General features: G+C 41.6%; 1 protein-coding gene and 1 non-coding gene across 2 annotated transcripts in view; both read left to right on the top strand.

Annotated features, from left to right (window-relative positions):
- Window positions 1–18,555, top strand: part of CFAP43 (cilia and flagella associated protein 43) — a 102,477-nt gene that overhangs the window by 10,177 nt on the left and 73,745 nt on the right. Inside the window, exons 4-8 of the mRNA NM_025145.7 lie at window positions 7,762–7,929; window positions 10,031–10,181; window positions 14,364–14,523; window positions 16,158–16,225; window positions 18,385–18,516. Of these exons, the coding sequence (NP_079421.5) occupies window positions 7,762–7,929; window positions 10,031–10,181; window positions 14,364–14,523; window positions 16,158–16,225; window positions 18,385–18,516 (679 nt within the window). The remainder of the gene's footprint in view (window positions 1–7,761; window positions 7,930–10,030; window positions 10,182–14,363; window positions 14,524–16,157; window positions 16,226–18,384; window positions 18,517–18,555) is intronic.
- MIR609 (microRNA 609) lies at window positions 3,305–3,399 on the top strand. Its single transcript, NR_030340.1, has one exon. It is a non-coding gene; the product is annotated as a microRNA 609 (primary transcript).

Raw genomic sequence — 18,555 nt, 5'->3', positions numbered from 1 at the left:
GTTCAAAAGAGGTGAAACTTCTGGAAGTCAGACCAGGAGGAGCCCAAGTACCATGATTTGACTCCTGGAAGTAAATTGATCTAAGAAGACTTTACCTTTATGTTCTAATGTTTTAAAAGAGCAGAATGGATTCATATATTATTTGTGTAATTAAAAATAACAATTCTGAAAAAGAATCTAAAGTAGGTGGGGAATGGTCTCATGGTTATAGTCCCAGGCTGGTGGGGTCTGGGACATCTGGGGTTCATAAGCAAAGACAATGTGCTATACACCAGCAATACCACCACCAGCAGTTTCATCAGAGAGGCATTCACTGAGATTTCCAATGGGTTAGTGCATTTAATCCCTGCCTCCCCCCTGCAGCAACCCCCATGAGACATCTATGATGGTCCTCATTTTAAAGAAAGAGACTGAAACTTCAGAGAGATGGGATGTTAAAGGAGAATTTTCAAACAGATTATAAGATGTAAGATGGTTTCATATAACTCCTTAATAATGGAACCAGCAGGAAAACAAAAGAAGCTGGTCCCTGTCTTAGTAAGCTGTCACAAAATCCCATAGACTGGGTGGCTTATAAACAACAGAAATATGTTTCTCACAATTCTGAAGGCTAGAAATTCCAAGATCAAGGTGCCAGCAGCTTCAGTTTCTGGTGAGGGCCTGCTTCCTGATTCATGGATGATAATTTCCACCATGTCCTCACATGGTAGAAGGGATGAGCTAGCTCTCTTTTATAAGGACACTTATCTCAACCATGGGGGCTCTGCACCCTTGACCTGATCACTCCCCAAAAGTCCCAATACCCCAATACCATCACCATTGGGGTTAGGATTTCAACATATAAATTTGGTGGGGGGAGGCAGCACACAAACAGACCATAGCAATTCCTGAGTGCTTAAAAGAACACACACACAGCTGGGCATGGTGGCTCACGCCTGTAATCCCAACACTTTGGGAGGCCAAGGTGGGCGGATCACCTGAGGTCAGGAGTTCGAGACCAGCCTGGCCAACATGGTGAAACCCCATCTCTACTAAAAATACAAAAATTAGCCAGAGTGGTGGTGGGTGCCTGTAATCCCAGCTACTCAGGAGGCTGAGGCAGGAGAATCACTTGAACCTGGGAAGCAGAGGTTGCAGTGAGCCAAGGTCATGCCACTGCACTCCAGCCTGGGTGACAGAGCGAGACTCCGTCTCAAACACACACACACACACACACACACACACACACACACACACACGCTCACTCATATAGAGTTAGAAAAAGTAGTGGTTACATAAAATTTCTAGGTTAGATATGTGAATGATTATCTTTCCAGAGGTCTCTAAAACCTTAGGACCTTAAACTTAACTGTTCTACCAGGGCATACAATCATAGCATTGAACATGTTCTAGAGTTTAACCTGTAAAAGCATGCCTGCCTTTATCACATCGAGGCTGTTAGTATGTATTATGACAACAAAGTTACATTCCCCAGGAGTGTCAGATATGGGGCAAAGCAAGGTACAAAGTCTGGTTTTTGTTCGAGGAGGCTTGCTGGAAAATGCTTCCCAGCATGATATGAGAAATCAAGCCAACACAATTTTTCTTTTTTCCAAGTTTCATTTTTTTTTTGTTCTTATAGCTACTTGCCTAAACTTATATAGTTGGTGAGTTGCTGAGTGGGCTTTAAACTCATTTGGTTTCTAAGCTCTTTTATAGCTTTCATTGATCTAAGGCACAATGGGAACCTGTAGTAGGGGCATCTCACATAGTCTGTTGGTGGAGGGGAATGGTCAGGGAAGGCTTCCTGGAAGGAGAGGTAATGTTTAAACAGATACTTCTATTAATTAGCTAGGCCTGCCATAGCAAAGTACCACAGACTGGGTGGCTTAAACAGCATGCGTATATTGCCTCCCAGTTCTGGAGACTAGAATTCTGAGATCAAGGTCTCAGCAGGGTTGGTTCCTACTGAGGGCTGTGAGAGAGAATCTGCCCCCGCGCCTCTCACCAACTTCTGCTCACTTGTTTGCTGGCAGTCCTTGGCTTACAGACACATCACCCAGATCTCTGCTTTTATTTTCACATGGCATTCTCCCTGTGTGTGTCTGTCTCCAAATGTTCCCTTTATATAAGAACACCAGACTTATTGGATTAGGGCCCATCCTAATGACTTCATTTTAACTTGATTACCCTCTGTAAAGATCATATTTCCAAATAAGGTCACATTCTGAGGTGCTGGGGGTTAGGATATTAACACGGGAATTTGGGGGAGGCACAGTTCAACCCATAGCAATACCTAAAGGATGAACAGGAATCAGCCTTGTGACGAGAAGAAAGAACATCCTAGGCAGAGGAATGGCATGTGCAAAGGCCATGAAGTAGAAAAAGCACAGCAGGTTTCAATGAAAAGGTCATGATAACGGGAACAAGAGATTTGCCATGAGAGAGGCAAGCTTGGAGGGACAGTCAGAGGTGAGCTTATGAGCAGCCCTATATGTAGGTGACCATGTGGTTTATCATCCAAATCAGGATGCTTTTGAGAGTGAAAGAGGGTGTTGCTGATGAATGCAGGGCACTTTAGCCTAAACTGGGTTTCTCCTAGGCATACTGGGAAGGATACTCACACTCCATATAAGCTAGGCTAATGGACAAATTCTTTATCCTAAAGGCAGTGGGGAGCTACTAAAGGGTTTTAAGCAGGGAAGTGACACAATTATATCTGCATTTAAGAAGATTCCTTTCAGCCAATTATTTCCAATGAAAGTATCTCCAATACTTTCGTACTGTGGAAGGTATATTGGAAGGAAACAAGGCATGAACATCAATTAGGAGGCTGTGGTGGTCCAGGTGAGAGATGACTGTGTCATGGACTAGGGTGGGAGTAGGGATGGAGGGAAGTGAAACTATTTGGGAGGTGTTTAGGAGGTAGCATCATGAGACTTGTAACTGACTAAATATTGGGTGTCGTGCTGAGGAAGAGGGATGGGTCTAGGGTTATATCCAGAGTTGCGTGTGACTTGGGCAACTTAGGGACACTCTGATGCTATTCAGAGAGATACTGAGGGCTTGGGGGCAGGGAATTTAGGGGAGGCAATGGGGGAAGATGAGCTGGGGGACAAACTGAACTGAGAGTGCTTGAGATGAACAAACGGAGATGTCTAGTTGGCAGCTGATATATCAGTTAGGACTTAGGTTCATTTGTGGTCACAGAAACCCAAATCACCAACATGTGTTTCCTTCTGTCACATGCAGTTGTCTGGGCACGAGCAGCTGTGGTTGGTGTGGTGGCTCCTCGGGGTCAGCGTCCAGTCTCCCGCTGTCATGCTGCTCGGCTGTTCCTAGGGTGTTTCTCTCATCTCTGGTCTATAATGGGTTAAATAGTAGAGATGAGGGCAACACCCTAGGAACAGCAGAGGAACCCTAAACCACCGGTGTATTTTGGGAGCCAATGGGGAGGGAAAAGGATGAGGGGAAGGGCACAAACCTTCTGTTGAAATGCAGGGCTTGCATGAAAGAGATCATTGCCTGACCCAGGGACTACCTCAAGGGCTTTTGGTGAGGACAAGTGACAGTAGGAAGATGCAAGAGCCTTTAGTACCAAGGTTCTCAACACTGACTACATGCTGGAATGACTTGTGAAGCTTTTAAAAAATGTTAGTGCCCACTCTTCCCCTCTCCCCTCGGCCAGTTAAATCAGAACCTCAGAGAGCAATGTGCCTTGAGATGCCTTGAACCACTGCTTGAGAAGGAAGGACAAACACATTATTACCTTGGAAGAATTGCATAAGGCTTATGACTTGAAAAAAAATTCTTTTTGGAAACACAAGCATTTCTTTCCTTTTTTTTTTTTTTTTTTTTTTTGAGACACAGTCTCACTCTGTCACCCAAGCTGGAGTGCAGTGGTGCGATCTCGGCTCACTGCAACCTCTGCCTCCCGGGTTCACGCCATTCTCCTGCCTCAGCCTCCCGAGTAGCTGGGACTACAGGCACCCGCCACCACGCCCAGCTAATTTTTTGTATTTTTAGTAGAGACGGGGTTTCACCGTGTTAGCCAGGATGGTCTCAATCTCCTGACCTCATGAGCCGCCCGCCTCAGCCTCCCAAAGTGCTGGGATTACAGGCGTGAGCCACTGCGCCCGGCCTTGGAAACACAAGCATTTCTTTAAGAATGACCAGGTGTTGCCATATGTATTTACGGCGCAAGCAAGTGTTGTCTAAGCAGTTTCTCTGTTTGCTTGTCATAGCAACATTTAGAAACTCGAACATGCTTTCATTTATGTAAATAGTTTATGAAGCTTTGACAACAAATGTAAACAGACCTGAAATTATAAATCTGCTAAATTTGTATTAAGGGTATTAATTATTGAGAGAAAGTCCCCTTCCTCCACACTCAACTCCTATGGCAATTATGAACTCCATTTTACCCAGAACACTTAAGTGCCTCAGCATCTGTATGATACAGTGGAGCAGGTGCTGGCATAGGTACCAGCTGACCTGATGTATCACTAGCTCTGCAGGATGATTGCCACATACATGGAACACCTGGGAGTGCTGGAAATGTACCGGGATCGAAGCTACAAAGTGTGTTTTCATTCGCAGTGGAGGCCATGTCAAGCAACGGAAGGTCCAGCCCTCTTGCGGGTGTGGTGAGAGGCTCTACTAGCAAAGACATGGGTGCCGGAGTGGGTCCTATGTAGCATGCGAGTGCTGTAGAGAAAATTCAGTGATGTACATGGCTCTGATCCTGGACACAAAATCTATACTGGAGAGGAAATGACTGCTGAAATAAGGAAATTGTATGAATATTTAAAATGCCTGGAACACTAAAGTAATGATATTTCAAAAAGAAAGAAAAAGAAAGAAAGAAAGAAAAGAAAAGAAAAAGAAAGAAAGAAAAAAATGCAAGGCTTGGAAGGTGCACACATGACTGCCACTAACATTCATTGACTGGCTCGGCCATAAGCCACAGCCAGCTTCAAGGGTGGCTAGGTAATATTAGGTCCTCATTGTGAGTGGCCATATGTGCCTGGCTAATATTCAGGGGGTTCTGTTACTCAGAGGGAGAAATGGAGAATAAATGCTGAGGGACACATGCCCTTGCCACAGATATCCAGGACTGGTGCTCAGGAGAGAGGGCTGGAGATAAACATTTGGGAATAATTAAGTCAATGGATAGCCAAAGTGTGAAATGTAAGTAAGAACACCTCAAGAAGAGCCTAGGGTGGAACCTTGAGGAATATCAATGGAAGGGACCCACCTAGGAGACTCATAGGAGTAGCTATGAAAGGAGGAAGGACACTAGGCAGGGAGGGTTCCAGAATGTGCCTCAGCCTGGTTCCTTGGAAAGCAGAGGCTGAGGCAAGAGCTCATGCATCCCATCTTTAGCAGGGTGTGTGATCCCAGGGCAGGAGAGCCAGTATGAGGGCGTATTACCTTGCTGGCCACCACTTGGTACCGAGTGCAACTGGTTACTCTATCTCGAAGGTGGTCTTCTGAGAGGTTCTATGAACTGCTATGAATCAGGACAGTCCTCAGGCAGTGACAGACTGTGGGTGGGGAAGGGGAGAGGAGGAGATGAGAATTTATCCACCAACTCCTGTATCCCATCGATTGAAGCTTCACTGCACAGGGTGGTAATTCCTTCACACTTTCAGGTTTGTCGTGATTGTCCCCAGGAGCCCCAGTGAAGCCCCAGTGAAGCCACTGGGCGTGTGAAGTGGGTGTGAGGCGAGGCACAGGTGGGGTGTGCCTACATGAAGTTAGTCAAAGTGCACACACAGTTGGACAGCCACTGAGTCAGCGAGGCAGAAGACGGGGTCAAGGGCCCAGACACAATAGAGAGGATCTGTGGTGTCCCATAAGAGGTGTGTGACAGAGAGTCTAAGAGTGATTCCAGAAGGTGGTTGTGGTGAACAGTGCCCAGTTCTGCAGAGGTAAAGTTAGGCAATGACTGAGAAGTGCCTTTTGGATTTAGGATGAAGGCAGGTATCTGTGGATATAGCTATGTCAATGGAATGGTGGTGACAGGATGCAGGTATCCTGGGATGAGGAAAGTGTAGCTGAGGAAGCCATGGCGGTGACTTTAGAACAACTTGCTCAAAAAGTTTGACTCTGAGGAGAGGGGAGAGACATAGAAAGGTAAGACTGAGGGAAGGCTTCTTTTGAGGATGGTATGGATGAGCACTTGTGTGTTGGCAGGAAGAAGTCAGGCTAGAGGGAGAGTTGGAAGATGCAGTTATCCTGAGTAAACCAATGTCCCTAAGAAGGCAAGACTGTGGGACCCAGAGCACAGGTGGTGGAATTGGCCTTAGGTAGGAGGAAGGACACACCTTCCATTGTAAGGGGAGAGGAGGCGGAGAGAACCATGCAGACCCAAATGGGTAGTTATACTTGAGAGCAAGAATTCTCAGCTGATGGCCTCTATTTTATTCATGGGAATCAAAGCCATTTACTGAGATTGAGAAGGGAGTAGAGGGGCTAGAGGTTTCGGGAGAGGGGAGAATATTTTAAATGCCCATTTTAGAGAATGAGAGAGAGAGAACTGGCCAGAGAAACATAGCAGGATTGGAGATCCTATTGAGGGTCTGGTGGGGGGTGGCAACCACAAGTTTATGGTGTCACTGCCATGCACAGTCCTGTAGTCTTTGTTCCCATGTCTCTAGCAGCCCAGGCTTTCAGTTGTCTCCATCCAGGGATGACGGTCTTTGCCAGGTACCTGATGCAAAAAGTCAAAGGATCAAGGGAACCAGAGATTCCAGCAAGAGTGTGGTTGATGTGTTGGGCAGGGCATTTGTGATAGGGAATGAAGGATGAGGGCAGGAGGGAGTGAAAGGCAAGCTAAGCTCAATCAATATTAGCTCCAGTTTCCTAATCACAACTCTGAATGGAGTTCTGGCCCCTCATTTGAGGGCATAGCTCACATTTAATTTTTTTCTTTTCCTTCATCTAGCAAGGGACTTTGTTCATGGTAGGAGTTCAGGATATTCTCTTAAATGGGTAAATGAATAAATCCATTTTAAAATACACCACTTTATTTATTTATTTATTTATTTATTTATTTATTTATTTATTTTTGAGATGGAGTCTTGCTCTGTTGCCCAGGCTGGAGTGCAGTGGCACAATCTTGGCTCACTGCAACCTCCGCCTCCCAGGTTCAAGCGATGCTCCTGCCTCAGCCTCCCAAGTAGCTGGGATTACAGGCGTGTGCCACCATACCCAGCTAATTTTTGTATTTTTAGTAGAGACAGGTTTCACCATATTGGCCAGGCTGGTCTTGAACTCCTGACCTCGTGATCCACCCGCTTTGGCCTCCCAAAGTGCTGGGATTACAGGCGTGAGCCACCGCGCCTGGCACCACTTTAATTTTAAAAACTCAATAAATGATCAATTGGCATCGATGAGAACAGTACCCCCAGATCCATATGGAGTACTCACATGTAGTACTTACAGATTCAGGCACTTACACTTGTTTTGTAGCAAATGTGATGATATATTTCATTTTCTAGGTTTGGCTGAGTTAAATTGCAAAATTATTAAAGAAGATAAAATAGCCTTGGTATAGCATATGACAGTATAGTGTTTTTAAAACATAGTTTTTTTGCTTTCTTAGGATACAATACAATGATAAGCATAATTATTTATAAATTTGACATTAAGGTCATTGATTATATAAATTGTATCATAAATTATATCCCAATTTATGTAAATTAAAAAATAGATAAATGTTCTAAATACATGAAATTCAAATGAACTTTTTTTCATCAAATGCTATTTTTCTCTAAGGAACTGGGAATCGAGTATCATTTTGTGTAAGAAATCACAGCCTGGAATGGATGTGAACCAAATGTCTTTTAACCCCATGAACTGGCGCCAGCTGTGCTTATCAAGTCCAAGTACAGTGAGCGTGTGGACCATTGAAAGAAGTAACCAGGAGCATTGTTTCAGAGCAAGGTAGGAGCCTTTGTTACAACAGTAGCAACATGGTGGTCTTTGTTTGCATTCGTGTAATGTGATTGGGTCAATTTGATGAATTAAGTGGCTTTATACATACATATATATGCATACACACACATACACACACATACGTTCAGCTTATCTTGTTATAACATCTTTCTACATGCGTGATTACCTTGGAGTGGTTGTTTGCATTTCAAAAGAATTCTCTATGACTTGTTTCCCAATTAATTTATTTAAAATATTAAGTTCTCTGAGAGCTTTTTCCAACATGATCTAATTTTCTAAAATTTTATTTGTCCTTACTATTTTAAAACATGCCTGTTGTATAAAAAGGAGAGTTAAGACTTTTGCTATTACTCAGATGCCCTACTGGAATTTCAAAAATAAGAAATGGTTAGATATAGAAAGTATGCAGATTGGCCGAGTGCAGTGGCTCACGCCTGTAGTCCCAGCAATCTGGGAGGCCGAGGCAGGCGGATCACGAGGTCAGGAGATCGAGACCATCCTGGCTAACACGGCGAAACCCCGTCTCTACTAAAAATACAAAAAATTAGCCGGGCATGGTGGCGCATGCTTGTAGTCCCAGCTACTCGGGAGGCTGAGACAGGAGAATCACTTGAACCCAAGAGGTGGAGGTTGCAGTGAGCCGAGATCGTGCCACTACACTCCAGCCTAGGGACAGAGCAAGATTCCATCTAAAAAAAAAAATATGCAGATTATACATTCAGACACATTATCCGCAAGCAAAAGGGTAGTTGTGTATAGTGGAGCCATGGGAGTTACCTGTTTAAATAGAACTGGGTCAAAGAGAAATTCTGTGACAAATGCCGTGGTGATAATGGGTGCTTTTGTTGAGAAAGAGCTCGGAGACTCAAGGTGCTACTGAGCTGACCATTTTCAGTGTACTCCATGAAGTCAAAGTTGAAGAGATGTTGGATCTCTTGATTTTTAAGAGATCTCAAAAGTATTCCCTTGAAATTGCAATTTTGATAAATCGCCTTAAGAGAATCTAAAGCTAGTAAATAAAGCTTTTGAAATGGAGAGCCTTAAGAGAAGCCTTTCTGCTCAGTGCTCTTTATGTCTCAACTTCTTTTTCACAGTAACCCATTGAATAGCCAAATCTGTCTCTAGTGAGAGTTGACAACACTGCACCTTTTAATAAAAGTGGGTGATATCTCTATCAGATCCTTGTGAGGGCAGGCAAGTAATTTATCACACCCTTTTCTCCCTTTGCCTCCCTCAAACGTTCTACTCAAGTTCTGAATACTGAGTTGTGACTTTTCTGTAAGCAAATAAAATGGGAGATAAAACGAGTGGATTGTCCTAGTTCACAAAGCAAGCAGGATTCAAACACACTTCAGCCTTACATTTGAGTAGTAGGTGCTGTTTTTATGTGATTGTTTTTCAAAATTGTTTATCATTTATAAAATCTAGGCAAGGAAGTTTTGAATTTAATGCATGAAACCACAAATTCTCTAAATTAACCTTTATAACCATATTATAAATTAAAAGTAGATATATGATAAATTTGAAAATGAACTCAATATCAGAGATTATAAAAGTAGCTGAATACAGCCTGAATATATGTTTAAATATATATTTATTTTAGTCTACAGTGTTTTTCATTTGAATTAGTTGCCAACATTTAAAGTTTAAGAGATTTCTCATAAATATCCAGGTTATAGTATTCTCTTGAAATTTTGGAATCAAAATTCTCACATGTCAACAACCCTCTTGGCTTGAACTGAGTGGTCCCTGCCACCTTGAGGAGGGACAAATATTTTCCCATTTTCCACTGTCCTCACCAGTCACATATCACCTGCCCGACCCTCATCCAGTATTCAAATTTACAACTCCTGCTTTAGATATTAACTTTCAAAAATTTTTATAATCCCTCAGTACTTAATTTAAAACTGTGTAACTTGTCTTTTTACAACCTGTTATATATTTTTAAATCTATCATTTGGCTTTTATCTTCTTATTTGATTTTTGCAAGTTATAATACCTCCCCACCTCACTTAAACTGATATGCAGTGGTTGCATCAATAAGAAGTTTCTGTTCATCTCATTGTTCTGATGCCTCTTTTGTCTACAGGTCGGTGAAATTACCTCTAGAAGATGGGTCATTTTTTAATGAAACGGATGTCGTTTTCCCCCAGTCGTTGCCGAAAGATCTCATCTATGGTCCCGTGCTGCCACTGTCAGCCATTGCCGGGCTGGTAGGCAAAGAGGCAGAGACTTTCCGGGTAATTACCTGGCACCTCTTCCTGTTTGCCTAATGGGTTGAGGTCTAGGAAGCCTGATCTCATTTGATTGGCATAACCATCCCTTGAGAAATGCAGGATACAGAGGATCATCTTGGTTTTTAATATAGATTAGCCACAGAGACTGTGAGAGATGAAGACTCTGGAGTTTTGAGTTTGGATGACTGGGATGATGACGGCATTGCTAACAGAGACAGGGGGCCCAGGTGTGATTTCCATTTTGGGCATACTCAATTTGGGGTGCAGGGAAGACACCTAGGTGGAGATGCTGGGCAGAAGTTGGGAAAGTGGACCTAGTGTTAGGGAGGAGAGGTGGGACTGTCAGTGTCATTCTCACAGATAGGACGGTGGGAGCACTGAGGGGATGTGATGAGCAAAGAGAGAAAGGGTGCAAGGGAAGAAAAGAGAGCCAGAGCCAGCTGACTGCTGAACTCAGGGGCGAAAGGAATTCTGAGAAGGCGCAGTCACAGAAGTAGGAGCAAACCCGGGAGGGAGGAACAAGGCCGTAGGAAACAGCAGAAGAAAGTTTCAAAAGGGAGTTTGCCAGGTGTTACACACCCATTCATTCATTCATTCATTCAACAGAGATTTATCAAGTTTCTTCTATGGAGCAGACACTGTTTTAAGCAATGGGATTCGCATGGTGGCCAAGCAGGCTCCATGTAATTCTCATGGAGCTTACATTCTTGTCAGGGAGACAGAACTACAACAACAAAAGTAAAGAGTATTGTTCTTTTGTAATAATTATCACATTTTGCAATGATATATTGAATCATTACAAAATGTGGTAATTATTACAACAGAATAAATGGAGACAGGGCAGCAAGGATGGGATGGGCTGGTTAAGGAAGGCCTCTGGGGAGATGACACTTAAGCTAAGATTTGAAGGACAAGGAGGCATTACTCATGTTACAAGCAGGATAAAGAGTGTTTCCTTTGGGAGGCCGAGACGGGTGGATCACGAGGTCAGGAGATCGAGATCATCCTGGTTAACACAGTGAAACCCCGTCTCTACTAAAAATACAAAAAAATTAGCCGGGCATGGTGGCGGACGCCTGTAATCCCAGCTACTTGGGAGGCTGAGGCAGGAGAATGGTGAGAACCCGGGAGGCAGAACTTGCAGTGAGTCGAGATCACGCCACTGCACTCCAGCCTGGGCGACAGAGCGAGACTCCGTCTCAAAAAAAAAAAAAAAAAAAAAAAAAGAGTGTTTCACGTGGAAGGACCTGCATGTGCAAGGCCCTAAGGGAAAAAGAGAACTTGGTATGTGTAAGGAACTGAGAAAAGATGCATATGGCTGGAGCATGATAAATGAAGTGGAAGTGAGGTGTGGGGTGCTATTCAAGAGACAGGCAGGGAACAGAGGGCAGCACCTGCAAGACCTTTGGGATGAAGGGAGAAGCTCCACTTTTTTGGCCCTCTTGAACCTGCTATGCTTTACCCTTGTGTTAAAAATTAGCTGGGCATGATGGCAGATGCCTGCAATCCCAGCTACTCGGGAGGCTGAGGTGGGAGAATCACTTGAAGCCGGGAGGCGGAGGTTGCAGTGAGCCAAGATTGCACCATTGCACTCCAGCCTGGGTGACAGCGAGACTCCGTCTCAAAAACTAAACTAAGCTAAACTAAAATAAAAATAATTCAGTGTGAAGATTAGTTCATTCAAAAATCTCTGTGGCAAGCAAGAGAAAGGGTTACATGCCCTTAATATTTCCTCTAATGAATGTCAATGATTCACCTTTTTAAATTATGGAAAGAGATTATAGTCAATCTCCTGCATTCGTGGGTTCCACTTCTGTGTATTCAACCCACTGCAGATCAAAAATATTCAGAAAAAAGTTGTATGGTTGCATCTGTACTGAATATATACACACTTTTATTTCTTCTCGTTATTTCCTAAACAATATAGTATAACAACTATTTATAAAACATTTACATTGTATTAGGTATTATAAGTAACCTAGAGATGACTTAAAAGTATATGGGAGAAAAAATAAAATAAAATAATTAAAAATAAAGAAAAAATTTACAGGGGGATGTATGTAGGTTATATGGAAATACTATGCCATTTTATGTAAGGAACTGGAGCATCCACAGATTTTGGTATCAGTGGGGGGTCCTGGAACCCATCCCCTGTGGATACTGTAGTTCCTTTTATAGCACAGGTCTCAGCCTTGGAGATATAACTGCATTCAGCCACAGTGGGGCAGCAAAGGAAGAACAAAGAGATCAGCCATCAAGGTTTGCAACTCAAATTTTTCTATGTTTAGTATTTGGTGCCAGAGCCCCTAAATTTCTACTCTCTCAAATTGGGTTTTTCTGGGCAGAAAATATGTGTAGGAGCCCTTATATTTCACATTTTGTACAAACATAACGAACTCTGCATAAAACATTTAAAATTCAGGCAATTGTCCTTGTCATTTGAGAAATGCTATGAAATGCCTTCTTTAAATACTCAAATGTGGAGTTATTATTTTAAAATGCTCATAATAGACATCTTTATTTTAAAACCTTTTTTATTTGTATAAATTTAAGGGGTACGCCTGCAGTTTTGCTATGTGGATATATTGTCTGGGCAGACATCTTTATTTCCTAGGACTTGTGCACTCAGTGTATTTTAAATTTTTCTGAAAGCAGAAATGTAATATTATAGTTTGACAACCCTAAATCATTCATGGATTATTAATAAAGCCATATATTTTGTATTTAAGTTAGACATTTTCCCAGTAGTTTACTTTTTCATTTTGTAGCAAAATAAAGTGAGGAAAATGTTTAAAACATTAATTAATGTCTGTACAATGAGTGAAAGCATAACCAAAAATAGATCTCAAATGTCTTGATTCTATTCCCTCCTTCAATGTCATTTCTTGTGACCTGGGTACCAATGGCAAGGGAATCAATAATGACTCGATCTGTATAAGGTCTTAAAAATGGATAAGTTGTGGACTTTTAAAAAATTACAAACATCAAATAATCCCATTATCTATTCATAGCTAATGCCAGAAGGGTACATTACAGGACTTTAAATAGCCCTGAGTCACATTACACAACTTATTTAGGGCGTTAGAAATGTATCCAGTTTTAAGTCGTAGCATGGGGGAAATCAAAGGCAGATGTTATCTGGGCAGAAATTGGATCCAAGATCATGAACTTAATCTCAAGTGTCTAATTTCTATTTTCCATCTACCTTTTTAATTTTTTCAAACAGATGTTGCTAAATAGGAATCTCTTTTAGAGACTCAAATATTTTGAAATATATATGGATTTTTACATTTTCTAAAGCAGGATTAAATTGGACTGCAATTTTTCATGTTTTGTCATCATGTGATCAAAATGATTTCTGATTCTAGAGGACTGAAAAAGGAGATGATATTATCAACAAACATTTCTAAACACTACTGGTACCCTTTATTTTTAAATATCTCAGAATTATAAACTATTGTTTCTGCTTACATAATCCATATACTCACATTCATTTTTAAATGTCATCAAATATATTTATTGATGAAAAAGTAATAGGAAGACAAGCCCAGGTTTGTCTTAAAGAAAAAAAAGCCACATACAATACTAGTTTAACATACCAAGGCCAGAAAATTTCAAATTTTAATCTTCACATTTTGTTTTATACACACAGATTCACTGGTATTGTGCAAATGAGAGACATGGTGTTTTGTTGTTGTTTTGTTTAAGATTTTGATCCTATTGTCATTTCAGTTAAGTCTGTCTTTGTGATTTATAGTTTAAGGTTAGATGTCATAAAAAAAACTCAGGAAACTTTTCAATAATGGTGATAACGGTGAATAACTCTCTTCCTTATGAGTCAAATCTCAATCAGACACCACAGAAGTGTCACTATTCAGCAGCAGTTTAATTTTTTGGAGTGGGAAAGGTGGTTTGCCTTTTTCTTGATCCACTGGGTGACCAGATTGTTACCCAACTATTTATTTTCTAACTATCTAAGGCTATGAGGGCATGAAAGGTACAAATAATAAATTAAAGTCAGTCTGTCCTTAAAAAAAATTATTATGATGAATGCTCAATGTTCCTATGTTTTCTGCGTCTATGGGGTTAAGTATGGTTCCTTTTTGTCAGTTGTTCTGGTGAGTATTTCTCAGGCTTTTAGCCGTGATTGTTTTCTTAACACAAGGTTTTATTCTCTCCCTGAAGCCGAAAGATGATCTATATCCTTTGCTTCACCCGACTATGCATTGCTGGACTCCAACAAGTGACTTGTACATTGGCTGTGAAGAGGGTCATCTTTTAATGATTAATGGAGACACCTTGCAAGTGACTGTACTTAATAAGATAGAAGAGGAATCGCCATTGGGTAAGAAACTGTCCTACTTCATATTCCTGTATAGCCATGGGTGTTGGTTTTTTTGGTTTTCCCTATTTTTCTCTTTCTTGGAGACATCTTTGAATCCTCCTTCTTCTTAATCCTCTGGCTGTTACTGTGCTGTTGGCATTCTACCATCACTTTATATGCATATTTCATGTAATCCTCAGAACAACATTATGAGGAGAGACACCTTAATCTCCACGATACAGAAGAGATATGTTAGGAAACATGGCCCAGTCCACGTAAACTGTGGAGCTGACACCTGAACCCAGGCAATAATACCTCAGAGTCCAAGTTCTTGGCTACTGTGCTGTATCCTTTTCTATACATATGCCCATTCTGCTTAGTCTGCTAATCATACCCTTTCCTGCCCCCACCCCAACCCTTTTCTCCAGGCTGATCATCTGTTAAGCCCAAAAGCCATCTTGAAAATTACCTTTCTATTGCTCGGTTAGAGGTGTTGTTTTTTTGGTTTTTTTTTAGACAGAGTCTCATTCTGTCACCCAGGCTAGGATGCAGTGGTGCAATCTTGGCTCACTGCAACCTCCGCCTCCTGGGTTCAAGCGATCTCGTGTCTCAGCCTCCCAGGTACCTGGAATTATAGGCACACACTACCACGCCTGGCTAATTTTTGTATTTTTAGTAGAGATGGGGTTTCGTCATGTTGGCCCGGCTGATCTTGAACTCCTGACCTCAAGTGATCTGCCTGCCTTGGCCTCCCAAAGTGCTGGGATTACAGGCAGGAGCCACCACACCCTGCCATATTGCTCAGCTAGAATTTGAAAGATAACCTGATCTATTCTGCCCTAGATATAGTGTCTATTCCTGACCCTATCAGCTGTGGCCATGGTTGGGCCTGGGCCACAGGAGCCACTGTCCACTCATTGAGCAGTAGATGTAGACCCTGGGAGGAGGGGGCCTTGCCAAGACAAGCTCCTCAAACCTGTCCAAAGCACTCTCTATTTCAATTGCTCTTACTATTTCACACCTTGATTTCTGTAACAACTTTAGGATGGACTTCACTGACCTTAATCTACATCTGACCCAATCTATGCAGTTTATCTCTGTCAAATTGCCTCTTTGAAGGCCACTTTTAACACCCAGCTCAAGAACTGCTCTGCCTTGATTTCACGCTCTCCCTAATCTGATCCTACCTACTCCATTAATATTATTTCCAACTATGCCCTGGTATGAGTTTTCTGAGCCAGTCATTTATTTTCACCATTTCACAGACATGCCTCTAGCCCATTCCCTTGGCACTTACTGTCTCTGAATCTGCCAATGCCCAGCTCAAATACCACCCCCTCCAGCAAGTTTTCCCCATTGCATTGTCCCTCATCTGCCTTTTTTCCTATTCTCTGACTCACTTTCCCTGTAAAACTGAGGCCATGAGGTTTCACTTCCCTCCCAACTCCCTTTCTCTCTTCCCTTTACTCCTACTATACCCTCCAGCCTTGCTCCTCTCTCTAATCTAGCATCTATGTTAGTTACATAGATCTGATGATAGAGAATTCAAAAACAACTTATAAGATTTACATCAGTAAAAGTAGCTTTTATTATTCATTGTTACATTGTACTTTTAATTACGTCACCTGCTTTACCTTGTTTTTCTTTTCCAGAAGACAGAAGAAATTTTATCAGTCCAGTAACCTTGGTATATCAGAAGGAGGGCGTGCTGGCTTCTGGAATTGTAATGTATTCTTTTTTTCAAATTAATTGGTTTAAAGAAAATTCACAATTCCCATTTGTTGCCATTTACTATTATGAGCCATATTTTAGGATGTCAGATCTGTCACATTATTAATTAAAATGGTTTCCTCTTTGGGTACTATTAAAAAGGATTTATTATGAATAGCTTCAAATCTATACAAAATAGAGGGGACGATATAATGAACTACCATATATTACTGCAAACAAACACAAATAGAATTTAAAAATCCATTGCCCTTCCGCAATGAAAAAATACCTAATATCTGTAACCCAATTCCATGCTCATTTCTACACTTAATGTATTAGCTTATCAGACACGAATTTGGAATCCTTTGTCTAAGCTGCAGCTTAGACTCTTGTGAATGCCCATTTAACTTACATGTATCATAATGTTATTGTTGATATTCGAATCAGTATTAATAGCCTCCATTTACTTGGTGCTTGCTTTGTGCCAGGCACCAAGCTAAGTACTTTACTTGTATTATCTTATAGGTCCTTACAACAACCTTATCAAATAGAAACTATTGACATCCTCCTTTTACAGACAAGGAATCTAATCTCACAGAGTTCACCAGCAAGTAATTGGAAGAGTTAGGGCTTGAACATAGGTGTATCAAACTCCAAAGTCTTTGCTGTCATTTATTAGAACTCAGCCTCAGTAAGTAATAAAAGGGGTCAGACCATATTTTTCTTTTTCTTTTCTTTTCTTTTTTTTTTTTTTTTTTTTTTTGAGACGGAGTCTCGCTCTGTCTCCCAGGCTGGAGTACAGTGGCGCGATCTCGGCTCACTGCAAGCTCCAACTCCTGGGTTCACGCCATTCTCCTGCCTCAGCCTCCCGAGTAGCTGGGACTACAGGTGCACACCACCACGCCCTGCTAATTATTGTATTTTTAGTAGAGACGGGGTTTCACCGTGTTATGCAGGATGGTCTTGATCTCCTGACCTCATGATCCGCCCGCCTGGGCCTCCCAAAATGCTGGGATTACAGGCGTGAGCCACTGCGCCCGGCCCAGACCATGTTTTTCCATGCCATTGTAATCAATGTAAACAATGCTAAGGTGTGGAACTGACCTACACTAAAACATAGGTCTAGTTGTAACTATCCCAGATGTTAGCATAGTCCATTTCACTGCCACAGATGACATCTCCAGGACCTTGAGGGTAGCTAGGCAGTGACATCAGGGTGAGAGACATTTTACCCTCAGGAAGCCATCTGGAGCACATACACCTACACTTAGCTCCCCCAACCTTGCAGTGGACTATCCCCTCCTCCTCCTCCATTTAGTCAGCATTTGTGCCTTTTATGACTCTTGTCCTCTTCAAGACCACCCTTGATGTTTGTTTAACCCCCTTTAAAGTAACTATTATAGCATTTGCTCTGGTGAGTGATGGAGAATGGAGATGAGCTCAAAAAAAGCACCTTGCCTGCTTTCCCTTCCAGGGCCCAAGCATTTGAAACCAGCCATCTAAAGTCCCCATGCTTAGTTATAACAGATCTAATCTAGAAAATGATAAATAAATTTCCTCAGAGTGTTTTCACTATTGTAAAAATAACTCAAATTCCTCTTGAGAATAATAAAATTAACCTAAATCTATTCACAACCAGCCAACCAACCAACCCGTTTCTATTGGATACTTGCCATGTTCTACTACTGTGTGAGGAACAGAAAAAGAGGATCCGAAGGGAATAAAAGGCACACTGCCTACCCTTGGGTCATTTAGGGAGATAAGAAATGCACATAATAATGATTAAAGAGCATACAGGAGGGCTAGTGTCCTTTGAAGGAAAGAAACTGCTATACACAAGCCACACAAACTCTACTTCATTTTTCCTACCTCCTGTGCAGTGAAGAATGTAGTAAGAAGAGGGATACTAGAGAAACTCAAAAAAAGGGGAGGTCAGTAAAATTTTAGGTAATTGAAAAATGCATCACAAAAGAGATCAGACTGAAGCTTGACCAGGGAACATAGTTAAAAGTTGTCTAAATAAAGATGAGAGGACAGTGCATCTATGCAAACATAGATGATGATTCCAAATAAGCAGTAGAAGTAATCAATAAGCCTTAGCTTGTCTGATGAGGCAAGTATACTATGCATTGACTAAGACTGATTTTCTATGTTTATCTCACTCATCTCTAGGATGGCTTTGTGTATTCTTTTATTATTAAAGATAGAAGTTACATGATCGAGGATTTTCTTGAGATTGAAAGACCTGTAGAACATATGACATTTTCTCCCAATTATACAGTGTTGCTGATTCAAACAGACAAGGTATGTTGGATGGTAATTTCTTGATATGTGATTTTCAGA

The sequence above is a fragment of the Homo sapiens genome, chromosome 10 (assembly GCF_000001405.40).
Source record: "Homo sapiens chromosome 10, GRCh38.p14 Primary Assembly".
Lineage (NCBI taxonomy): Eukaryota > Metazoa > Chordata > Mammalia > Primates > Hominidae > Homo > Homo sapiens.
Note: the sequence above shows the minus strand (reverse complement) of the source record. Positions and strands in the feature narration are given on the sequence as shown.